The sequence below is a fragment of the Homo sapiens genome, chromosome 13, assembly GCF_000001405.40.
Source record: "Homo sapiens chromosome 13, GRCh38.p14 Primary Assembly".
Taxonomy (NCBI): Eukaryota; Metazoa; Chordata; class Mammalia; order Primates; family Hominidae; genus Homo; species Homo sapiens.
In genome coordinates this window covers 56,274,796-56,302,716 of record NC_000013.11, presented here as the reverse complement: position 1 = coordinate 56,302,716, position 27,921 = coordinate 56,274,796, and the positions used below count along the sequence as shown (strand labels likewise).

The 27,921-nt window shown below is 33.8% G+C and overlaps 1 long non-coding RNA gene across 2 annotated transcripts in view; it reads left to right on the top strand.

Moving 5' to 3' along the window:
• Positions 1 to 27,921, top strand: part of LOC105370214 (uncharacterized) — a 477,307-nt gene that overhangs the window by 432,906 nt on the left and 16,480 nt on the right. The window contains exons 4-5 of one of the 2 annotated variants that reach the window (XR_941978.2): positions 11,314 to 11,405; positions 26,456 to 26,491. This is a non-coding gene — a long non-coding RNA (uncharacterized LOC105370214). Of the gene's footprint in view, positions 1 to 11,313; positions 11,406 to 26,455; positions 26,492 to 27,921 lie in introns of those variants that run through there. The other variant, XR_941977.3, reaches the window with a different exon arrangement.

Sequence of the window (27,921 nt, the reverse complement as noted above, 5' to 3'; positions counted from 1 at the left end):
ACTGAGAGAAAATGATTTCTGGTTGGGGGTCAAAAACATTTCTGGCTAGAGGTCTTCAGCATGCGTTATCAGAACAACTATATATAACAAGATGAACTTTACAGACACAATGGTGGCATGTTAGAAAAAAAAAAAGTAAATCCTGATGGTCCCAATAAAAGAAACAGTGAACAAAGTGGTAGTCATTTCAGCAAATGGTCCTACTGATTGGACATGGGTGATCTGTGCTTGGTCTGCACCCCTTTTTTGAACAAACAATAGCAACTGTTTTTCTCTGATCGTAATGACACTCAATTAGAGTTTCATTCTCCATTATGAGTTTGCCAACTGGCAGGACAATAAGCAATACTACCTAAGGTAATGAATATAATATTTCTAAGATTTATATTCAAACAAAATTTTTTTTTTTTTGGCGGAGTCTCTCTCTGTCTCTCCGGCTGGAGTGCAGTGGCGCTATCTCGGCTCACTGCAAGCTCCGCCTCTCAGGTTCACGCCATTCTCCAGCCTCAGCCTCCCGAGTAGCTGGGACTACAGGTGCCCACCACCACGCCTGGCTAATTTTTTTGTATTTTTAGTAGAGACGGGGTTTCACCGTGTTAGCCAGGATGGTCTCAATTTCCTGACCTCATGATCCGCCCGCCTAGGCCTCCCAAAGTGCTGGGATTACAGGCGTGAGCCACCACACCCGGCCCTCAAACAAAAAGTTTAAATGAAAAAAACAAAATAACTTAGAGTTAAAATATTTTTAAATTTATGTGCACATTTTTAATTAAATTAGTGGTATCTGAAATCATTTATCACTCTCTAAACTCATGTATTAAATCTGAAGATAGGAGGGTAGATGGAATAGTATTATGCTAGTTAATCATTGACAGGGTCTTGCTGATTTTGTGCTTAAGTTTCTAAGGTATTAGTCTTCTAATTGATGAGTATATACTTCTGCATCATGGATAGCTAAGGCTGTTACTTCCCCCTTTTCAATTTCCATACCTCCTTCCTCATGCAAAATCTCTCTGGAATCAGAGGTTCTCTAAAATTATGATAGAAATGGAGGTAATTTAAATGCATGTGCACATTTTCATTTCTGTTCTCTATAACTCAAAATAAGAGAGAAGCTAAAATTTAAAAATTAAAATATATTATGTAATTACTATTTGAAAAATGTTTTTACTTATACTAGTCCTATTTAGGAAAGAATGTTATACAAATGAATTTACATGCTACTAAAATAAAACATTGGGGAACCTCTCCAGCACACTGGTCTGGGCAAGATTTCTTGAGTAATACCTCCCAAGCATAGACAACCAAACCAAAAATGGACAAACGGGATCACATCAAGTTAAAAAGCTTCTGCACAGCAAAGGAAACATCAAGAAACTGGAGGCACAGCCCACAGAATAGAGAAAAAAAAATGTTTGCAAGCTATCCATCTGATAATCAGAATATACAAGGAGCTCAATTCTATAGTAAAATTATCTAATAATCCAAATAAAAATGTGTGAAAGGTCGGAATAGATATTTCCCAAAAGAAAAAATGTGAATGGCAACCAGATTTATGAAAAAGTGCTCAACATCACTGATTGCCAGAGAAATGGAAATCAAAACTACAATGCAATATCATATCACCCCAGTTAAAATGGCTTTTATCCAAATGACAGGCAATAACAAATGCTGGCAAGTATGTGTGAAAAAGGGAAGCCTCGTATACTGTGGATGGGAATGTAAATTAATACACCCACTATGGATAACAGTATCAAGGTTCCTCAAAAAACTAAAAATAGAACTGCCATAGAACATATCCAAAGGGAAAAGGAATCTATATTTTTCATTTTCAAGTGAAAATTTAAAAATTCCACATTCAAATATTAGATTACAGTCATGTGCTGCATAATGACTGTGGTCAAATAATGTATCATTTCACTCTGCTCTATGATAATGGGCAAAGTTATATAGGCATATCACATCAATTAATAAAATATTCAACAAATATGGGATAGTATTTGTAAATTATAATAAGTATGGTACTAATGAGAATGATAGTACTATGATTAATTTCACAGTTAATTTCAAAGGAATTAACTGTTATGACATTATTTTAAAATTCTATTTTTATATAATATGAAGATGAAAATTATTAGTAATTTCACTACATTTTATGTCAAAACATTACAGTATGTTAAAATCAGTATTCCTTCCTTTTTAAGTTCATGTTAGTATTAGTAATAATTTAAATTATTTTTTATTTATGTGAATAAAATGGAATACCTAATCTTTCAGTAATGTTAATTAATGTAAGTGTAAATTGCAAAGCATTGTCTCATTTTTCTCTAGTTTCTTTTAAATTATAATTGTAGTGTTATACTTTCTTTGGAATTCTTGTTTCCCTTAAGCATTTTTGTAAAGTAATTTTGAAAACAGAAAGTTTAGAGACAAATTAAGATTATTCATTCTGCAATTTATTTCTTAATTGATTTAGCAAATATTTATTCAACTCACACTTTTCTGTGCCCATGACTAAGAAGCACACAAAATATTTTAGGAGAAGGCCTCGTCTTTCATTGAGCAGCAATATCTTTTGATTACAAACATAAATACTGCAAGAAATCTTGTGGCATCTTAACCATTTCAGTGACAGCCTTCAAGTGTGTTGGCAACCTTCCTGATTTATGCAGGTTCTCCTCTTGTCTGATCAGCACCCTTTCACATGCCTAAGTATTTTCCTTTGTAAGATAAATTACATATTCAACCTAGGTAACCCACATATAATGCCTGAATCAAGAAGGTTGAACCTGGCAGGAAATCATGTATATTATTAAATAAAAATTAGTCCACAGTTCAAGTTAGTTGGCAGCTGTTCTTGAATGATCTTATTTACTCAGGTGTCTTCCATCCCATATATTTTTTATAAGTTTTAACACTAAATTCCCAGAGAGAGTGTGGCTTTTCCTGGAATTACATTGGCCTCAGATATTGAACAATTGTTTTACCTTAAACAACTATATGAAGAGCTACATTGTCCTCCTAGTATTCTGCAATATAAACTGAGAAAACTTTCTGGAATCTACACACTATTACCCACTGAACTATCTCACTATTCTACTTTACTATCCAGAAATTAGGGCATTTATGCCCCCTAGAATATTAGTCCTTTTGATACCATTGCCATTCTAGATTACAATAAAACTGTCCAACAATTTTGTACATTGTGGTTTAGGCATAACGCTTTATTATTATTATTAATATTATTATTATTATTATTCATTTGAAAACTGAGAAACAGCTACACCAGCTCTCCTATGCCTGATGCTACAGCTATAGTTTGATATACTGTCATGTTAGATATTGAGATCTTAATATGAAATGCATCCATAGCTTTTCCAAATTTTAATAAGGAAAATCTTCTTAATTAACATTATCAGCAGACTTCATATATATATATTCACATATAAATTATATACATATAATATTTTATGACAAGAGAAATATTCATATTTATTTTAGAAAATATATGAACTACATTAAAATCACAAAATAAAATAAATGTTACTCTTATCACTAGTGATTATAACTCAAAATATTTATATTGTGTACTGTAATCAACATTTTAACATAAAATACAGTGGACAGTTTCCATGTTCTAAAGGGGCATACAACATGATTTTTTGATACCTGTGCTTTTTTTCAAGGATGCAAAAATATTTAACGTATTCCCTATTATCAGTCACTTGTTTCTTTAAATGAAATTATCACAAATAAACTGGGTACGTATTATTTTGAATGTATATCTAATTAAATTTTGAGATAAATCCTAGAATTGAAACGTTTGTGTAATTTTCTGAGAACTTTCGAAAAATTTTAGAGAACGTCTTCTAGTGAAGTTATAACAATTAATATTGACACTAATAGTCTTATTTACATCCTTGACAAGAGTATATCAATTAGATCATATTTTACTTATTAGATGACCCAACTTAATTATGTGTATGAAAAAATTGATATTATTAACTTTCATAATTGAAAAATCTCAATAACTTTTTGGTGTTTGGCAGAACTTAATCCAGTAGCTACAAATTGTCACCAAGGTGTGGTTTTCATTCCTTGGTCTGCCCTGTCTTCTTTGGTTGTAGTTCTAAACCTGGCTCTTTATTTTCCTCAAATTCCTACAGCACTCATATGCAGGTTAGTTAAGGGAGAGGGTCCTTTTTCCTCTAAGTATTTCTAGCTTACTTAAAAATATAGAATTTATGGACAGTGTCAACATGTATGATGTGCTATATACCCATAAATGGGGAGGTGATTACTTACTCCAACACAGATTACCAAATGAAGAGTTTAAGCTCTTGGGAAGCAGAAAAAAGAAAACAATATGAAAAGCAGACAAAATATGTGTTGGGTTTAATTTAATACAAATGTTTATTTTAAATATTAATTTATATTTTATATATATTTGATGTGATCAGCAACATTATTTTTAATTGCATTTCATTTTTTTTCTGTACTGGTATGAGTTTAAAATCAAAATTTATATTAATTAAGGGATCTTTTGTCATTATGAAAAGATAATGTGTATATATGTATGTGCATGTATACACACACACACACACACACACACACACACACACACATTGGCATACCTCAGAGATATTGCAGGATTGGTTCTGCACCACTGCATAAAGAAATAATTACAGTAAAATGTCACAATTTTTTTGGCTTCCCAGTGCATGTAAAAGTTATATGATACTATAGCCTATTGAATGTGCAATAGCATATGTCTACAAAAAAGTACATATTTTAATTTAAAAACACTTCATTGCTAAAACATGTTAACAATCCTCTGAAACTTCAGGCAGTCATTTTTGTGTGTGTGTGTGTGGTGGAAGGTCTTTTATGATATTGATGTCTGCTGACTGATTGGTGGTTGCTGATATTTGGGGTAGGTGTGACAGTTTTTAAAATCAGACAACACTGAAGTTTAATGCACCAATTGACTCTCACAAAAGATTTAACTTTAGCATGTGATGCTGTTTGACAGCATTTTACCCATAGTAAAACTTCTTTCAAAATTGGAGTCAAATCCTCTCAAACACTGGAATGTTTTATTAATTAAGTTTGTGGAATATTCTAAATGCTTTGTTGTAGTTTCAACAGTATTCAGAGCATCTTTACCAAGAGTAAATTCCATCTTAAGAAACCACTTTCTTTGCTTATCTATAAAAAGCAAATCCTCATCCATTTAAGCTTTATTGAGATTGCAGCAATGCAGTCACTTCTTCAGACTTCACTTCTAACTCTAGTTCTTTTGTAATTTCATCCATTCCTCTGCCCCTTCCTCCACTGAAGACTCGAAACCCTTAAAGTCATCCATGAGGGTTGGAATCAGCTTCTTTCAAACTCTTGTTAATGTTGATATTTTGACCCCTTCCCATAAATCACAAATGTTCATAATGGTATCCATTGAAAGAGCTTAAATAATTTTTCAGAAAAGTATTTATTTGTCAATAAAGATATAAATATTTTCTCATAAATGACATGAACAGATACTTCACAAAAGAAGATGCACAAATCAACAACAAACATATGAAAAAATGCTCAACATTGCTAATCATCAGAGAAATGCAATGAGATATCCTCTCACACCAGTCATAATGGCAACTGTTAAAAAGCCAATAAGCAACAGATGCTGGAGAGGCTGTTGGTGGGAATGTAAATTAGTTCAGCCACTATAGAAAATAGTTTGGAGATTTCACAAAGAACTTCAAGTAGAACTACCATTTGACATAGCAATCCCACAGCTGGGTATATACCCAAAGGAAAATATTCTATCAAAAAAACACATGCACTCGTTTGTTCATTGCAGCACTATTTACAGTAGCAAAGACATGGAGTCTACCTATGTGCCCATCAACAGTTGACTGAATAAAGACAATGGGGTACATATACACCACGAAATACTAGACAGCCATAAAAAGGATTGAAGTCATGTCCTTCACAGCAACATGGATGCAGCTGGAGGCCATTATCTTAAGTGAACTAATGCAAGAACACAAAACCAAATAGTGTATGTTCTCACTTATAAGTGGGAACTAAATATTGAATGTGCATGAACACAAAGATTGGAACAATAGACAGGACAACTAGACAGGGGAGGGAAGGAGAGGGGTTGTGGGCTGAAGAATCACCTGTTGGGCACTGTGCTTACTGCCTAGATAATGGGATCACTGGGACTCCAAGCCTCAGTGTCACACAAATTACCCATATATCAAACCTGCACTTGTACCCTTTAATCTGTAATAAAAATGGAAATTATTAAATAATACAAATTTACACTGCTAATAAAGTTCATTCATTTTTCTCCTGAAAATGGTTTATAATTAACCATTACTTTTAAAATAAACTTTAATGTTCATAGATATCGAGGTTAACTGGGTTAAATAATACACCTATGCTAAGCCAAAAAAAACTTAGTGCAATAATTCCACATTAAATTTTCTTAAAGATCAGGCTATTTTTGTATTTATAGATTTTTTATATAAAATTTTAAAATATATTAATCTGTAATGTGTAAAATAAATATTATAGTATGTATGCTTCAAAAATATCTATTTGTTCATTTTTTAATTCTAAAGAAACTGTCACACAACACCAATTAAATTGATGACTTATAGACAAGTAAAGCTCAATGTAGTTGAACCTAAGTTGAGAACCATGATGCTGGAATTGAAGCAGCAGTCACAATAGTGCTGTATCATGAGGTTTTCTTACTATTTTATGTAGTCTCACAGAGAAGTACATCAATAAAGTCATTATTTATATAATACTGTTCTATTCAGTAAAATCACAAATGAATGAAATAACCATATAATTAGAGTCTTGTACATTGTTTTACCAAATGGAGCATATTTAATAGTCATAACAATGACTTAATGAAGCTGAGATTAGGAACTATGTTTGCATGATCACACTAAAATCAAACTCTTCAGGAAAATAGCTTGCATTTTAGTTACTTTACTGAAGGTGAACATAACCTAATAGCCAACTACATCTAGACATTAAGAAAAGACAATTCAAGCACTAATAGAACCAGTGCCAAATAAAAAATAGGTTAAATTGTGAAGAGACACTCTGAATATGTTGTTGATACATACAATACTGTATCCTGGGTTGAAAGTTAAGTATATTTAGAATTTTTATGCTATTGAGTTATATGTTAACAGGCAATAAACAATGAGAAATAATTCATCAGCAACATTTAAGAGAAAATTATTAAAGCAAATAATGTCTCCTTTACAAAAGGTGCAAAATAATGTTCAGAGTGAGTTGAGAGAATTCAGGATATTTTTTCAATATTTTGGAGAGTTTATTTCCTAAGAAACAAAATGACTGTCATAACATATAAATAATATGATCAGTAAGTGGTGGCTGTATTTCCATTATATAATAAGTCGGCTGTCATTTGAGCAAATACAACCTTCCAAGAGAGAAAAGTTACCAATAGACTTGCCACCTATTTTACACGACACACTTGAAAAATAATTCCTGACATTTTATAAACAAATATGCATTCCTACAAATATTTTCAACACATGTATTATTACTAAAATATTTTATTCTACTAAATTCTATGATTGTCACTACAAATATGGATGGCATAATTTTGTAAGATTGATCTAAGCTGAGCTCTAAATTTATATACATTCTAATTATTTAATACAGCCTATAGTCTACATTAACCTTGCATAAGACTCAGAGGTATGTAAAGGTGTAACACTATGTAGGAGAAAGCTAAACGATAGAAGAAAATACAATTTTTCTTCAAAATAAAGCAACTGGAAATCATGTATGGATTTTCTTATTATATTGTGCCAACAGACCTTGGCTTTGGTTCTAGGCAATTAGGTTTCGTTTCATTTAAAGATTTCTAAAAGACTGAGAGAAATCTGGGTAAAATGTTAAATCTAAGGTATTACTTGCCAACCTGACACTTTTATCCCTTAACCACAAAAACTAAGTTTAGAAAAGAACAATCTTGGAATATTCAATTAGAGTCAAATATTACCACTGACAATTCACTTTCTTATTCTACATCTATATGGCCATGGGGGAATAGTCAGAACATTTCAGAACCTAATATAAATCCATAGCATAGTTTGTTTTAAACTATATTTATTCCTAGGAGGTAACACTTTCAAAATAGTGAAAGATGGAGCACACAGATGTGGTTTCTCCTTTTCTTCTCCCTGAATTTTCACTGATCTTTTCTTACACTGTGTAGGGACCTGACAATCAGGTCTAGGATTGAAAGCACTTAAGCTGGCTCTATTCCTACTTTGATTATCAAATTGTTTAGTCATATCTAGCTTTGGAAAAAAATGAGCCAAGTGCAACAAAATTTCTACATGAATCTTAAAAACTAAAGATTCAGAGAGTAGTAACATGTTTTATTAATAGCTATTAATTAATAAGTAATATTTATTGTTTATTTTAGTTCAGGCAATGCACATAAGTTTCCTCATTTAATCCTCACAGCAAGAGTTGTTACTATTATTATAACTATGTGTTAGTTATTATTGTCATGTTTTGAGTGAAGTCAGCAAATCTTAGCATTTTTAGCTTATTGGTATAATCAATTATTTGAATAGAAAGCCCATAATCACTGTGCTTGGAAGTTTTGATAAACAGCATCTAACAGAAAGTGGAATCGTATATTTAGGCTATCATATCATGAAAAATAGCTATTGAAACTGCATTAATATTCCAATAAACTATAATGGGTTAAGACATAAGTAATCAAAACACTGTGATAGGAAATTGATTATGAAATAGAGTGAGCCATCAGTTCGTAGCCACAGCACAGGAATAGGACAGACTGAGGAATATTTTTGTTTCTTTTTTTATGTTTTTCTTTGTGTGTTTAAAATCTGGCTTAGGGTAATGTTGAAAAATAATAATTTTAACTATGGATTGAAAATAAAGTAACTTAAAAATATGTGGACATTGTCAAAACTCTGGTTGTTTTTTCCTGTACAAAAGCACGTGTAATTAAAAGAAGATATTTTAATTTATTGAATAGTATCCTGTACATTTTTAAAGTATGTAGGATTCATCATGATTACAGTGGGATATTAGTCTATCATTTTGTAGTGGATTTTAGGATAAAATCTGAATATAAGAATGTGCATCAGAAAAGGTTGATCATTTACACCTAATGCTGCTTCCTATAAAATGCGTTAAACAGGATTCATTTAAAAATATATCACCTTAGGCTGGGCGCAGTGGCTCATGCCTGTAATCTCAGCAATTTGGGAGGCCAAGGTGAGTGGATCACCTGAGGTAAGGACTTCGAGACCAGACTGGTCACCATAGTGAAACCGATCTCTACTAAAAAATACAAAAATTAGCTGGGTGTGGTGGTGTATGCCTGTAATCCCAATTACTTGGGAAGCTGAGGCACGAGAATCGCTTGACCAGAGGTTGGAGGTTATAGCGAGTCAAGATAGTGGCACTGCACTCCAGCCTGGGCAACACAGTGAGACTCTGTCTCAAAAAAAATAAAAAATAAAAAATATATATATACATATGCCTTAGAAAGTGTTCAATAAGGGCATAGTACAATGTGTTTTTCATTAATAACTCCAAATTTTTCTCTCAATATTTTAGCTTAAGTATATTTTGTCAAGTTAAGGGCTATATAAATTGTATTTGTAGTCATTTAAGAATTTGTAAGTAAAACATTATATCTGTCTCTAAATCAAAAGAGATAATCATAGGGAAAGCATAGCATTATGAATCATCATCAGGGTACACGGATGGATACCATCTCATAATTTTTTTATATTGTCATTGAAAAGAAGATCTCCAGGCTGGGTAACAGAATGAGACTCTGTCTCAAAAAGAAAAAAAAAACAAAAGATAAGAAAAAATTTAAGAAAATAAAAGAAAACCCACCCAGAAGAGATAAATCAGCTAAATCCGTATCACAGAAGATTTATCTACATCGTAGCAAAGCAGCGTGCTTCACATATAACAAAACTAAAATTAATTTAAGGCACAATCTTTGATTATTCTTAGATGTGTAAGAAAGCTGAGCAATTTTGTAGTTACCAAAATGTCTCAGCTTTACAACTTAGTGAGTTTTCAAAAGAAAAGATAATAAAATGTATTAAAAAGCTTAAATACGGTCCTATACTATTCCACATAGGTATCATATTGCCAATTTCAGTTATATAAGTATATAAAATTACATATGAAGTTAGTTATTTTTCTGTGTAAATGGTATCTCATTGAGTTTTCTTCACTACGATTACAGAGAGAATAGATAAGCACCTGCCTAAAAATAGGAAAGATATCTAATTTTCAAATTCCAGAACACTTCCATCAATGGCTGCACATCATTGATTTCTAAAACAGTTTATGAAAGAGTGGTATTATTTCTTTGAAGGCTTGGTAGAATTTACCAGTGAAGCCAGTTGGTCTTTTTGTGGAATGTTTTTAACTACTCAGTCTCTACTTTTTATAGTTCTATTCACATTATCTCATTCTCTTTGAGTCAGTTTCAATCATGTGTGTCTTTCTAATAATTTGTCAGCTTCATCTAGGTTATATAATTTATTGGTATGTAATTATTGATAGTGTTCTTTAAGAATCACTTTTATTTTATCAAAATTGGCAACTAATCACTTTTATTCCTGGTTTGGCTTTTTAATGTAGGTGTATACATATAGCTACACATTTTCCTGTAAGCATTGCTATTGCCAAATCCATAAATTTTGTTATATTCTGTTTTGAATTTTTTTATTCATAGTGAGGGAATCCTCCTGTATGAGTCATAAGATTATGGTTCAGTTTTGAAGATATTTATTTTAATTCATATCAAAAATATCATAAAATACTTTTTAAGAGATAAATTATTAGCATTGTCTCATATTACCTCAATTTTGTCTGTCTTTTTAGGCATCTGGTTATGATTGTTCTTGTTGAAGCCACTAGAACCACCAAAGTCTTATCTGTTAATAATAACGGGATTGTCACAGATTCTATTGATATGGTTCTTGCATGTTCTCCATAATACCCATTGTTCCTGGGGCTAAACCAATAAAAATTGACTAAAAAAATTTAGCTTCTCACATATATTTTATAATTAGATATAGCACTATGATATAACATGTCTGATCTGGCTTCTCCAGCAACTTCCAACAGGGGACAAAAAATTCTTAAGTTGTGGAGAGTTGGCTGTCAGGCAAATTATGAACAGTGGGAAACAACAGATAAGAGAGAACTGGGAGATTAATCTTTTTCCTTTTATCTCTTCAATAGACAATTCTGGGACATGGACTCTCGGTACAGATTGCCCAAGACATCTCACATGACCAAGCAATGGGACATGTCTCTTCTTACCTCATGAAACAGTGAGTAGTTGGCAATACACAACATGTTTATAATTTGTCCTTTATGCATCACTGTGCTTTTCCATAGTTCTTGCTGCACTGGAATCATATTACATTAAGCATTAGCACATATATATTCCATCAGGCTATGTTTCTAATGAGCCTGAGCCAAGATAGTATATATCAATAGTATCTCTATAAAACAGATTATGGTAGGTGGGCTGGAAATAATTATTGACATTGATGGCATCACAGTTAATTAAGGTATGGTTAATTTTAATAAGGTGCAAATGGGTGGCAAGGAGATAGGAGTTCAACTACATGTGGTGCATAGTAAGAAAATGGTTAGCACTATTTATAAAGATCATGGTATAGAAAAACTCATTTGGGATATTTTAATAAATAATAATATTATATATACCCAATTTAATTATCAAAGCATGCACTCAACAAACAAACAGGGCCTCTTTGGCATCTTTAAAAATAGTATTTTTCTTAGCAGGGACAGAAAATATTATGCTGAAAATCAGCCTCAGCATCTGATTATAAGCATGAGAAACTATAATGTACACAGCATATCCAGCTTTAATAGGTCTTCCCTTCAAGTTAGGTCTCTGGATTGAAGACAATTGGTTAGACAAGCATAATTTTTTTTTTTTTGGACAGAGTCTCACTCTGTCATCCAGGCTGGAGTGCAATGTCATGATCTCAGCCTACTGCAACCTCTGCCTCCTGGGTTCAAGCAATTCTCATGCCTCAGCCTCCCAAGTAGCTGGGATTACAAGTGCCAAGCACCATGCCTGGCTAATTTTTGTATTTTTAGTAGAGATGGGGTTTCGCCATGTTGGTCAGGCTGATCTGAAACTCCTGGCCTCAGGTGATCCCCTCACCTTGGCCTCCCAAATTGCTGGGATTACAGGCAGGAGCCCCTGTGCCTGGCTGACAAGAATAAAATTTTTTTGAGTTCTTCCTTTCTCTTTCTTCTTCCATGTTTTAGCAATTGTTTCTTAATCAGTATCTCTATGCATTTTCTATTAATTCTCCATCCACTGAAGTTTGGTTTATGCCTAAATCATCTAGAGCTCTCTAAGATTGCCAAGGACTTTTCAGTTGGTGAACTCAAACTATCCTCAGGGATTTGATCACTGCTCAGTCTGTGTGGTTAGCCATTCCTTGTCTAAACTCCTCCCTTACGTTGATAGCTACCTCTCCCTGCCCTTGCCTATGTGACTTATTTTAGTCTTAGTTGTTTCTTCTGCCTTTATCTTGCTGAAAACTGTGACTATTTATTTTAATTCAGTATTTGATCTTCTTTTATGTAAACTTTCACCCTCTTGGGCAATAATCTATTTGTAAATAATCCACGTAGAATACTATGTAAGACAATCATCCCCTTAAGTAAACTGTCCATATGAGACCCAAATCTGGAGCTGATGTCTAGGTTTCTCCTGAGCTTGACTCATGGCTTTGCCTGGATAGGCCAGACACTTGAAACTTGAGATTTCTTACAGATTTGCCATGACAACAAAGTCTGTTTATAGCTCAGCCATTCCAGCACAGGATACACTTAATCTTGAGGAACCAGAGAAGAAAGCCTTGGGCCCAAATTCAACCCTGCCCTTGCCCTACCTGACTGCCCTCACTGCCCCCAGCAGTGTTAGAGCATGCAGCCTAGGAGTACTGATCTGAGTGTTGGCTCCGTGAAAACTTCCAGAAATGAGGCCAGTTGTCTGACCCCAATTTATACCACAGTCAAAGTCTCAAGTGATTTAAAGAATATAAAAGTGAAAATTCCCATCCAAAGGACAGCAACCTCAAACATTAAAGCAATATCAACCCACACAGATGAGAGACATCCGATGCAAGAACTCTGGCAACCCTGAAAGCCAGAATAGCTTCTTACCTCCAAATGACTGCACTAGCTCCCCAGCAATGGCTCTTAATCAGACCAAAATTGCGGGAATGACAGACATAAAATTCACAATCCACATGGCAATGAAGATCACGAAAATTCAAGAGAAAAGTTGAAAGCCAATACAAGAAATCTGTGGAATCCAGTAAAATGATACAAGAGCTAAACAATTAAATAGGAACTTTAAGAAACAACCAACCTGACCTGATAGAGCTGTAAAACTCACTACAATAATTTTATAATACAATTGAAAGTGTTAACAGCACAATATATCAAGCTAAAGAAAGAATCTCAGCACTCAAACAGTAATTCTTCAAATCAACTTAGACAACAATGACGACAAAGAAGAAGAAGAGGAAGGAGAAAATTAAGAAGAAAGAACATAAAAGAATGAACAAAATCTCCAAGTTTTGTAAATAGATTATGAGATTATAAAAAGGGACAAAACCTATAACTCATTGACATCCTGGAAAGAGAGGGAGAGAGAGCAAGCAACTTGGAAAACACATTTGAGGATATTGTCCATAAAAACTTCCCCAACCACACTAGAAAGGTCAACATTAAAATTTAGGAAATTCAGAGAATTCCTGCAAGATACTATGTAAGACAATCATCCCCAAGACACATAGTCATCAGATTATCCAAAGTCAAAGAAAAAGAAAAACAAATATTAAAGGCAGTTAGAGAGAAGGGGTGGTCACCAGCAAAGGAAACCCCATCAGGCTAACAGTGGGCCTTTCAGCATAAACCTGAGAAGCCACAAGAGATTGAGGGCCTATATTCAGCATCTTTAAAGAAAAGAAATTCTAATGAAGAATTTCATCTTCAACCAAATTAAGCTTGTAAGCAAATGAGAAATAAAATCACCTTCACCCAAGCAAATGCTAAGGGAATTTGTTACCGCCAGACCTGCCTTGTAAGAGGTCTTTAAGGGAGTGCTAAACATGGAAAAGAAAGACAATTACCAGTTGCCAAAACAACACAGTTAATACATAAACCGTTGACATTATAAAGCAACTACACAATCAGGTCTACATAACAATCATCTAACAACATGATGATTGGATCACATCCCACATATCAATATTAACCTTGAATGTAAATGGGCTTAATGTTCCCACTTAAAAGGCACAGAGAAGCAAGTTGGTTAAAGAAGCAAGACCCAACTATATGCTGTCTACAAGAGACCCAGCTCACATTCAGTGAGACCTATACCCTCAAAGTAAGTAAAGGGATGAAGAAAAATTTATGAAGCAAAGGAAAAGCAAAAAAAGAGCAGGGCTGATATTTTTATTTCTGACAAAACAGACTTTAAACCAACAATGATCAAAAAGGACAAAGAAGAGCATTACACAATGATAAAGAGTTTGGTTCAACAAAATTTAACTATCCTAAATATAGATGCACCCAACATGGGAACAGCCAGGTTCAAAAAACAAGTTCTTAGACAAATGTAAAGAGACATAAATGGTCCACATAATAAGAGTGAGAGACATTACACTCCACTGACAGTATAAGATCATTGAGGCAGAAAACTAATGAAGATATTTGTGACCTAAATTCAACCCTTGACAAAATGGAACTACAGAACACTTCACCCAACCAAAACAGAATATACATTTTTTTATCCTCATATAGCACATACTCTAAAATAGACAACATGCTCAGGCATAAAGGAATTCCCAAAAAAACTCAGAAAAACTGAAATTATACCAACCACAATCTCAGACCATGGCACAATAAAAACAGAATCAAAACAAAGAAGGTCTCTCAAAGTCATACAGTTACATGGATATTGAACAACCTGTTTTTGAATGACATTTGGGTAAATAATGAAATTAAGGCAGAAATCAATAAATTATTTAAAGCTAATAAAAACAACGATACAATATACCAGCATCTCTGGGAAACAGCTAAGGCAGTGTTAGAAAAAGTTTACCGTGCTAAACGCCCACATCAAAAAGTTAGAAAGATCTCAACTTAACAATCTAACATCACACCTACAGGAACTGGAAAAACAAGAGAAAACCAATTCCAAAGCAGCAGAAAAGAAATAACCCAAATGAGAGCCAAACTGAATGAAACTGAGATGCAACAAACCATACAAAAGAACAGCAAAATAAAAGTTTGTTATTTGAAAGAGTAAACAAGATTGCTAAACAGCTAGCTAGATTAATAAAAAAAAAAGACAAGATCCAAATAAACACAATAAGAAATGACAAAGGGGACATTATCACTCATCACATAAAAGTACAAAAAAAACAAAAACCAAAGATAATTACAAACAATTCTATGCACACACACTAGAAAACCTGGAAGGAATGGATAAATTCCTGGAAACATGCAACGTCCCAAGATTGAACCAGGAAGAGTTTGAAATCCTGAACAGATAAATAATGGGTTCCAAAAATGATTCAGTAGTAAAAACCTACCAACCAGAAAAAGCCCTGGACCAGATGGATTCATAGCCAAATTGAACCAGATGTATAAAACAAGAGCTGATATCAATCCTACCTTAACTATTCCAAAAAACTGAGGAAGAGAGACTCCTCTCTAACTCATTCTATAAGGCCAGAACCATTCTGACACTGAGACATGACAGAGACATGATGCAAAAAGAAAAGTTCAGCACAATATCCCAGATGAACATAGATGGAAAACTCCTCAGCAAAATACTAGCAAACCAAATCTAGCAGCAAATCAAAATGCTAAGGCATCACAATCAAGTGGGCTTTATTCCTGGGATGCAAGGTGGGTTTAACGTAAGAAAATCATAAATGTGATTCATCAAATAAACATCACTAAAAACAAAAACCATAGTATCATCTCAATAGATGTAGAAAAAGGTTCTGATAAAATTCAACACCCTTTCATGTTGAAAAACCTCAACAAACTTGGCATCAAACAAACACACCTCAAAATAATAAGAACCATCTATGACAAACCCACAGCCAGCATCATACCGAACAGGCAGTAGCTGAAAGCATTCTCCTTGAGAACTGGAACATGACAAGGATGCCCACTTTCACAATTCTATTTAACATAGTACAGGAAGTTCTAGCCAGAAAAATCAGGTAAGAAAGAAAGAAAAGATATGCAGATAGGACGAGAAGAAGTCAAACCATCTATTTTCATATTCAATATGATTCTATACCTAGAAAACCCGAGAGTCTCTGCCCACGGAACCCTAGAACTGATAAACAACTGCAGCAAACTTTCAGCATACAAAATCATTATTTAAAAGTCTGTAGCATTTCCATATACCAATAATGTCCAAGCTGAGAGCCAAATCATGAGTGCTACCCCATTCACAATAGCCATGAAAGAATTAAATACCTAGGAGTACAGCTAAGCAGAGAGGTGAAGGATCCCTGCAATGAGAATTACAAAACACTGCTCAAAGAAATCAGAGATAATACAAACAAATGAAAAAAAAATTCCATGCTCATGTATAGGAAGAATCAGTATCATTAAAATGTCCATACTGCTCAAAGCAATCGACAGATTCAATGTTATTCTTATCAAATTACCAATAACATTTTTCACAGAATTAGAAACAAGACTATTCTAATATTCATATAGAACCAAAAAAGACTCCAAATAGCCATTGTAGTCCAAAACAAAATGAACAAAGTCAGAGGCATCATACTAGCCAACTTCAAACAATACTACAGGGATATAGTAACCAAGACAGTATGGCACTGGTACAAAAACAGACACATAGACCAATGGAACAGGTTAGAGAACCCAGAACTTAAGTCTTGCCCATACATCCATCTGATCTTTGACAAAGTTAACAATAACAAGAAATGGGTAAAGGCCTCCTTATTCAATAAATGGTACTGGGATAACTAGCTAGCCATATGCAAAAGATTGAAACTGGACCCCTACCTTGCATCATATACAAAAATCAACATGAAATGAATCAAAGACTTAAATGTAAAACCCAAAACTATAAAAAAATACTCCAGAAGAAAACTTACAAAATACCATTCTGGCTACTGGCCTTGGCAGTGATTTAATGTCAAAGGAAAGCAATTGCAACAGAAACAAAAAAATGACAAATCAGACCTAATGAAACTAAGTAGCTTCTGCACAGTGGGAGAAATTATCAACAGAGTAAGCAGACAACCTACAAAATGGTAGAAAATATTTGCAAATTATGCATCTGACGAAGATTTTATATCCAGAATCTATAAGCAACTTAAACAAATTAACAAGCAAAAAACCAAACAACCACATTAAAAAATGTGTAAAGGACATGGTCACTTTTCAAAAAAAGACATACATGTGGCCAAGAAACATATTTAAAAAAATGCTCCACATCACTATTCATTAGAGAGAAATGCAAATTAAAACCACACAAAGATACTATCTCACACCAGTCAGAAGGGCTATCATTAAAACGTCAAAAAGAAAAAAAAAAGAAAAAAGATATGAATGAGGTTGTGAAGAAAAGGGAACATATACACTGTGGGTGGGAATATAAATTAGTTTAGGCACTGTGGAAAATAGTTTGAAGATTTCTCAAAGAATTTAAATGGAACTGTCATTTGACACAGCAATCCCAGAATTGGGAACTATACACATGGGGGCTTTCTTGAGAGTTGAGGGTGGGAGGAGGGTTAGGATCAAAAAACCACTCATTGGGTACTACGTTCATTACCTAGCTGACAAAATAATCTGTATACCAAATGCTGCTACATGAAATTTACCCATGTAACAAACCTGCATGTGTATCCCCCTGAACCTTAAAAAAAGTTAGAAAAAGTAGGAAATACAAACTGAAAAAAACATGTAAAGTTCAAAAATAAATAAATATTTTTTGAAACCTCAGACCTAGCAGAAGCACCAATTTGACCTTTTTTAAAATAAAACAATGACCTAAAATTTATTTCAAAATGAAGATTGGACTCTGCAAGACATATCCCTTCTATCCAGCTTCATTGCCTCTCAAACTGCAACCAGATTTAGTCTCAGTGTCACCAATGGGTAGCAAAGGCCCCTTTCCATCATTTTCTGGGTCCACATGAATACCCCCACTCCAAATTTCAGAATTTCACTCTTTCTCAAATATCCTAAATTTTGCATTGAAAATTGTACATGGTTGTTAACTCAACTGACATTGTATTTCTGAAAACAGTATGATTATATTTTATGTCTGATTTTCATCAAGTTTGATTTGTTTCTATAGTATATAAGAGATGCTTTTAAGGCCATCTTAGAATATCTCTTATTTTATACCACAATTAGAGTTAAGAAATTAAAAATCTGAACTTGTCATTTTATTTATATAAGTATGTCAGGGCATTTTAAAACATTTACTCATTTGATAAACTTTGTAATTAATTTTTTCTTCATATAAGTGAATAGAAATTTGATCTCCCAAGGTATTTGCTTCATAAGTACTTAATCATAGTCAAAAATAGGTAATAATTTGATTAATGATGATGCTTCTGTATATCAAGGATAATAAGCCTTCTATTTGCCATTGGCAAGATGTTTAAACCCATCTGAAAATTCTTCATTGAGGATCTGTTTTCTGAGCCTACTTACGGTATTAATTAACTTACTGGCGAGGCCCCTGTCAAAAGATAGGTCTTAACAATATTTCTAACTCAGAAAAAAATTACATGCTAAACAAGTGTTAGAAGGTTGAAAGGCCAGAAGAAAACACTCAGATACAGAAGAGAACGTGTAGAAGTAGCTACCACATTCAGAGCAGGGGAACAAAATTAAGATGTTACCTTTAATTGTATTAAACAGTGTGGAGGAGCGGTCCCTGTTGAGCTTTGACCCAAATCTCTAATAAGTGATTGATGCCAGGTTATTACTGATAGTTCAGGCCCTTGAAGAAAGGAATCCAGATTTCATAAAAGAAATATTGTCTAAGTGTTTCTAGAGCCTCATAAATTCTAAAAAGAACTCTCATAGAGCTATAAATCAGTTCCCTGGGGAGGGAATGCCAGCCTACTGAGATATTAGCCAGAAATAAATTGTTGGTGCATTACAACTCTTATCCCAAATTGATAAAGAGAAATTCTCCCAGCGGACAGACCTACAAGCAATACATTTAGTTTTCTATTCCATATGAAGAAATAATTTGTCTCAACTGTGGTTATTCCCTAATACCTTGGAAGTGGCAAATGCCCGGGCCAGTTTGTCCGAGTCCAGACTGGAATAAGATGAAAAATTCAGTGATAAGGAGACCTGAGGATGAAGTATACAGATAGACCAATGGACAGAGGTAATTAGAATACATATTTGCATCTCATGTTAATTTTTACTGGTGATTATTCATCAAAAGGATGTCTCTCAACAAGCAGGTAGATAAGTGAATATAATTTAGTATATCTCCAGACATCTTCAGTGCTTGTGTAGTCCCATGTATAGTCTATAGTGACAAGGATAAAGGTTGCTTATCTGCCCAACTGCATGGGCTAGCCTTTTACCACAGCTTTTCTTGCTACTTCCACTCCTGTGTGCGCAATTTTCCAGCACCATACATCAACAATTAGATGTCAGCATCATTGCTTGGGAATAACGGTTGGTCCCGCTTTGGCAAAGGAATTATATTTGAACCTTCGATCTTCAGGAATCTATATATTCCATAAATGAGTTTGCTTACTTATCCAAAGCGCCCCAGCCAACACTATGATCTAAAGACTTACAGAAAGCCTTTTTAATACTCATGGTATTGCCTATAACATTGTTTTAGACCAAAGGATGTATTTTATGTCTGCAAAGTGAGCATAATTGGCTCATGATCTTGGGATTTATACATTGTGCAGCATACAACCCCTTTTACTAAAAATCGGCCTGATTAAATTTGGGAGCAATCTGTTTAAGATTCAAGTAAGACTCTTGCTCAAGGTCAGCAACATGTAAGATTGGGGTAACGTTTTCCAGGATGTGATAAATGATACAGTAGCTCCATTAGCTAGAATATATGGATCCAGGAAACAAAGGGTAAAAGGAAGAAAGGCATCTCTTACCATCTCTGGCAGTGAAACATTTGAAAATGTATGTGTCTAGTCCATACAATCTTAGCCTCTTCCTCATTGGAGATCCTGGAAGTGAGCATCATCTGTCCACTATGGTCTACTCAGGACAGTGGAAAGCAAGCAAAAAAGTATTCTACTAGCTAAGATAATGTCATGATGACCGAGAGACATTGGAATTGCTGCCACTTGTAGTATGCCCATTCTGCTGCCCCTTCTTTATCCTGGGATTGCAACCACTAATTTACACATTGCCATAAGTACTTTCTGAGGAAAAGAAGTTATGATAGACCTCGCAATTGGGATGCAGATTATTATGATCATTTCTCTAAGAAAAATAATCAGCCTTTGTAAGAATGCTTTTGCACAATAACTATAATAAGCATTAAAAAAAATTGCACAGTCCAGATTGACCACTAAGCATTGTTGGATGTTTGTGTTCTCTAAAGGCCTTCTTAACTAAAGACATAATCAACTAACTGTGCTTTTGTTTTCTGTTCCTCTATCATTGGTATTCCAATTTTTGCCCAATGTTTGCCTTCTCAATTTCCCTCCTTCTCCAGAGTCAAAATATAATCTACCAGTATGCTTCAAGGTGAATACCTTCACTTGCTTCCTTAAATCTAGGAATCCAGCTGACAATCATTCAGGCTCTTGCATCTGGATTATCACCCCACAAAACATGAAAAATGTTTTAACACTAAGACATTTCTTGCTAAAAGAGATTTAAATCAGTAAATATCTTTATATGAATCTCATGTCCCTCAACATTTTATTTGTTCTCCCCTCTATTTTGTTCATTGTTATGATATGTGGTCACTTAATAGCACTCTGATAATGCAGTTACTCAAGGCTTAAAGCTCTTGCTTTCCCTGACCTACAGGAAACAATGCAACTTTTCCTCCTATGTCTGTGATTATTCTGTTTCGGTCATTATTTCAAGCTCTTCTTGCACTTTGTTCAAGGTTCTCATCTCCGTTAACTCTCTACGCTTATACTGGATGACCACATACATGTATCTTCCTTTATTTCTTACTAACATGCCAACATGAATCTTTAAGCTTTTATATATCTTGAGTGACAGTCTGAAATTGTTCATTGCCTTTGTATATAAGACACCTCACAAGGTAAACATCTCAAAATTGAAACAATCATCCCTCACAAATTTGCTTCTGCTCATACAGCATCTCCTGGCATCCACGAACTTGTCCAAGACCAGTGATCATACCATCAGGTGCACTAACAAGAAATGTCAATATAGAAATATTAGCAACATGAATAAGACCTGTCTCTCTGCCTTACTTTTAATATCTGAAATTCACTTTTAAATATAATTAAATTTTTATATAATCTGTAATGAAAATCACCCCTTATACTTTCATATGTTAAAATTGAATGTCAGTTTAATTATAATAGTATGTTTATAATAAAAAAGAAAGACACTACAATAATAATACAGATTGTAAAAATTGTCAATTTTATAAACAAAAAATTAATATCTTTCAAACAAATATGGGAATATGCATTTACAGTTAATTCAAGTATTTAGAGTGAGTGTATTAGATAAATAATTTTAGAAAGGCTATCATATTTATTTTGAAAAAACAAACGTTTAAAAAAGTAAATCAAATTACAAGCAGAATACTAGAGATTATTTATATAAAAATTTTAATCTATATGGAATTGTTTAATGCATTAGCATTTATAACACTGAACATAACACAATATTTAAAATTTATATTTAGCAATGTAATTCAACTTAGATTATTAGTCTTAGCATAAAAGTCCTTATTTTTCTGTTTTATTGTAGAGCTGGTTAAAAAATATCTTGCTGTAGGATAGTTCACAACGGAATGAGAGCATTCACTTAAGATTGAAACTGTATGGTACCATAATAATAAGCTTCAGTAACTATAGGATAAAGCTAATATCTAGCATTTATGAGAAATTATTGTTTCTGTATTGTATCTCAAAATTTTAAATATGTCTACCTAATTTTACTCATTTCAAAATATATCTAAAATAAAATTTTGGATTTATGCATGTATCACTCCATGATGATGAATTTGGGCTTCAGATGCAAACTGATTTTTATCCTTTGGGCCTTTGGCTTTTGGTCCAGGTGCTTATTCATTACACTTCTATGTTATCCCAGCATAGTGCCTCATCCTTAATAAGCTAAGAGATACACGTGTGTGTGAAATTAATTAATTAAGAACAAATCTAAATATTATGTTGGCTATCTTTCAATTCTACCTCTCATTGTGATGTTAGACCACATAAGTTATAGCATAATAAAGAGTTACTTGTTACAACTGCACTTTATCTTGTCTCAAAATTATAGTAATAGATTCTAGAGAAATTTCATCATTTTTCTATAATGGCTTTCCAAAGTAATATACTTAAGCACAAAATTTCAAATTCAACTAAAAACTCTAATACCTTACACTGTCGAGTGTTCAATATTAATAATACATACTGACACTGGCTTTGCAAAGATTCTTACAGCTAAAATCTTTTGCTAAATCTAAATGTCATCGTGATAGCCCATACGAATAGGATTCTAGAATTCTTCCTGATTTCTCTCAGGCTTCCTAAATCTTAGACTTAAATCCATAAAACTTAAAAAGATAAACTCTTTAGCTTTCAATGGCAAATTTAAAGCAAGGCAGAAGAAAATCAGAAAAAAAATACAGTTAGAGGGTGAAAAAATGAAAAAAAAAAAAAAGAGAGAAAGAGAGAGAGGACCATTGCCTGGCTGTTATTTGCCCCTCAGCAAGAGCCATAAACCAATCATATGTCAGACACAGGGGCCTGAGAGACTTAGTATATCATATTGACTGTTTTAATCAGCCAGAATCCTGCTGAAACTTGACTGAAACTTGACTGAAACTTAGTATATCATATTGACTGTTTTAATCAGCCAGAAACCTTCCACACCAGGGGAACATTCACTCAGTGCAGTATCTCAGATACACTGGAAAAGTTTCACAGGGCTATTAAGATAATGCAGTTTAAGTTCATCTAAAGTAAATGCATTTGTTACCTTGCATCCAAGATATCTGTCCTTATGTGGGTATAATTTTACATTATTTTGCATGTATATATCTTTCAAATGCCCATTGAGATATTCATTCTTAACATAAGAAATATAAGAAAATTCATTATAAAGAGAAATTTTTAACAGATTGATGTCATAAAGTATGATAAATTTAGAAAACTCAATTTTTTAAATACGAGAGATTTATATGCATCATTTTGCAAAAATTCATGTATTATAAAATAATCTTTTGATTCATCTTGAAAGCATGGGTGTATTCAAAGAGTAAGTAGCCTCCTCTGGAATCCTACAATAAAACTGCCACTAATAATTCTCATAATCATGTAACACAATAACCTATTTTCAATAGAGTGTTCCTGGCTCAATTCTAACTCATTTAACTCATTTAATACTCATAGCAATGCTTTAAGATAGTTAAAAAATTCATTTGGAGATGAGCAATATGATATACCCAAGCTCACAATTGCTCAGTTATTTTGTTTTTCATCCAATCTTTAGTTAATATCTCCTATGTGCCGAAAGTACAATTATTAACAGATAAAATTTCTGTTTTTGGAGATCATGATTCTTTGGTTTCTTCTATAAACTATTTAATAAGCAGTAATAACATTATCTTTTGGTGTTTTCATAGAAAAGTATACCCTTAGTACTCATAAATCTTTACCTCATATTTTGAAAAAAGGAGGGGCAAACTCAATTATTACAAATTTATTTAAGTTTGCAAAATGTCTTGTGTTAGTACCTTCTGAGTCAAAACAGGTTATGAATAAAAATTGTAGTGTAAATACACAGTGTCTAAACACACTAGCATCAAATGGATGTTAACTTTTTGCTTTCTAACTGAAATAAAACAATCTCTAGCTTAAGGCATAATTTAAAGGAAACATTTAAATATTCACTAAAAATCTGTGATAGGAAGATATACAGAGATTTAGAGATTTTTATGTACACGAAAAAAAAAACAGAAAATACTATGAACCAAAGTGAGGTGATTAAGATGGCTATTATCTGGAAGTTTTAGATTTTGAATTCAGATAGTCAAGCATGCATTCCCTGCTATCTTGTAAATCTCCAATTGCAGATGTAATGCTCTGTGCTCATTTATCTGAATTCCAAATCAGACCCCTAAAATGGAATCTTTATACAAGATGCGGTATCTCAAGCATCAAAAAATGGTGATGGGGTTTTTACAATAAAGCTTTGAGTCATTGTGATTCTGAGTCCTTGGGCTAGAAAAGTAAGCAAGAAAAAGGACATAATGTTTCTATTCATAACTAATCTATTGAGATTAGTGTATATAATACTTCATAAAAACACATGTAAAGGATTTTCTTAAAAACTTGATCTTTTATCCAGACTTAAACGAAGCTTTAAATTATACTATAATGTATAAAATAAGGAACAAACATCATTTTGCTTTGTGACAGTCCTTATCTTTTCTAAATTAAATCTTTTCTAATTCAACTCTTCGTACTTTTTCTGCCCTACCCTCCATATATTGTCTTTCCATACTGTCAAGTCCTTATGTCAATCCATTGCATGCCTACATTTTAAGAAACGTGCTTTTTCCTTTCATTGTCTTCACTAAAATAAGTTTCACCTATTGAGATTCATATTTCCTTCCTTCCTTCCTTCTTTCCTTCCTTCCTTCCTTCCTTCCTTCCTTCCTTCCTTCCTTCCTTCCTCCCTTCCTTCTTTCTTTCTTTTTCTTCTCGGAGTCTCCCTGTGTCACCCAGGCCAGCGTGCAGGGCACAATCATGTCTCACAGTAACCTGTGCTTCCTGGGTTCAAGTGATTGTTGTGCCTCAGCCTCCCGGGTAGTTGGGGTACAGGTGCTCGCCACCACACCCAGCTAATTTTTGTTTTTAGTAGAGACATGGTTTCACCATGTTGGCCAGGCTGGTCTTGAACTCCTGACATCAAGTGATCTGCCTGCCTCGGCCTCCCAAAGTGCTGGGATCACAGGCGTGGGCCACCACGCCCAGCTAAGATTCATATTTTCTATGACAATACTGGACACGATCTTTATTTCTAAGTTTAAATATTATAATCATTTAAAATGTTTTTATATAATCTTTTTAGAATAAGAGTGCGGCTTCTTAACATGTCACAGTTGTGTTTAATAATTATAATAAAACAACAAATAAAAACAACAAACACATAGTAATTTTTATGCTACACAAATTTCCTAAGTGCTTAAACCATGTGAACTATCTGAATCATCACAACTCTAAGAGAGGCACAATTGCCATTCATGTTTCATAGCCCAGATTCAAACTCAGGCTTTCTGATTTCAGAATCCAATATAATACCATTTCCACTGGGACCCTTTACTACCTTAATTCACTTAAAACCTTCGTCAAGAACAAACAACATTGGAGAAAAACTGCCACTGAAATGGTCTCTCACAGTCCAACAAAATTCCAACCTGAATACTTTATTTGATCCAGTATAATAAATATATCAGTTGATACCAACATATTTTGTGCATTTATTTCATATGTGTAAAAATTCCAAAATAATGTGAATTGTTCCATAGAGTTCAGTGTGGCTGAATTTTGCTTATTTAGGGTTTATAACATGTCCAACCTGAGTGGCTAGCATCCTTGGAAGAAAAGAAATGAACTCTGACTCATTTGTTTCTTTCAAATATTTGGTATAATAATTGGCCTACATAGAAGAGAGAAAAAATCTTTTTAAACTGAAAGTTTAAAAAACTATGGGTGAGATATGCCCCCATGCTTAGAACAGGAGGTAGGGTCAAAGCCAGTAACAAATTCTGGGGACAGCAATGAACAATACATCTCTTCGAGGACAAGTACAGTGTATCATGTATTACCAACACTGAAATAGAAGTTGTTTCCAGTGTTTTGTTCCTTCTAAGTTTTTAATTAAACTTGAAACTTCAAAATTTTCAACTAAAAACACCATATATTGAGTTCCTTGGTGTGATGTTTGAAAAGGAGGATACTGAACTTAAAGAAGTTAATATCTGGTTACCTGGTATAGGGAACACAGATATCGACCGATAGGGAATATCAGCAAAAGGAGCCTAAGTGCTAGCATCCTTCTTTTGTTTGTTTGTTTTTGTTTTCAGATGGAGTCTCGCTCTGTCACCCAGGCTGGAATGCAATGGCACGATCTCAGCTCACTACAACCTCCGCCTCCCGGGTTCAAGAAATTCTCTGCTTCAGCCTCCCAAGTAGCTGGGATTACAGGCACCTGCCACAATGCCCAGCTAAGTTTTGTATTTTTAATAGAGACAGGGTTTCACCATCTTTGCCAGGCTGGTCTTGAACTCCTGACTTCGTGATCCACCTGCCTCGGCCTCCCAAAATGCGGGATTACAGGCATGAGCCACTGCACCCGGCCAAGTGCTAGCATCTTAGACAACACCTCTCCAAAAATACCAAAAGATTGAGAAAAACTGGGTTATTTTAGTGTGGGAAGTGCAGGTATAAACTATTTCTTCTTAAACCTCAGAAGACTTGCAAATATCCTAGCTGGGACTATGGGGGTGAAGTACAAAATTAAGATAAATTATTCAAGATATAAAAATTTGGCAAAAAATTACTTTGTGTCCTTTAAAGTTATTCTTTAGCATTAAAATTTAAAGTCTAAACGATTTTTAGAGATTCAAAAGATATCACCAAAGGCTGTCCTGTAGGAAATTAAGCAATTTAGTATCTAACTTAGAAATCTTTTATTTAGCTTTTTCCTTTCTTTCTTTTTTCACTGGGTATACAAATCAGTCTCTGTATTCTCCTTGGAACCAGCTTTTGTTATCTTGTTGATTTCCTCATTAAAGAGATAAAGAAATCTGCAACACATGACTTATTTGTGAGTTATGTTCTTAACTTTTTGCAAGGAATACTTTGACAACACATACACTAATCCTATAACAAATGCTACTAACAAACACTACATTGCAATATTTCAACATTCACAGATGAACATTCAAAAAAATTCAAGAAATCTCTGAGATGTCAGAAGTAAAAGCAGTCTTTCTCTTATTAAAAAAGAAATGGGGAAGGAAAGCAAATTAATTGAGAAGAAGCTCAGAAGTCTGGAGATGTCAAGGTATATTTTCAAGCACCTAACAAGAAATGTGGAGGTTTCCTCAATGCCAGGCCCGTGTCCTAACCTGAAATCACTTAGGTCTGTCACCCTACTTTCACGTGGAATGTGTTTTTAACAGTTCTATTTCTGTCATGATTATTATATTCAAACCAAGGGTTCACATCTCATTGTCATAAATGGTAAAACAAACAAGCAAATAAACCTGTTCTTTAGCAGCTGGGCCCATATTTCATTTGCTCAATTGCTCTGTCATGCTTTGAAAGACAACGTTTAGTAACATTAGGGATGCAACCTTGCACCCAAGTCTTGTTGATGAGTATGCACTTATTTTTGATTTTTTTCAGACTTTGAAGTTTTAGATAAACTTTACTACTGTTCTCACCTCCTCAAAAAATATACTAAAACAGTAATCCCAGGACTTTGGGAGGCCAAGGATGGTGGATCACCTGAGGTCAGGAGTTCAAGACCAGCCTGGCTAACATG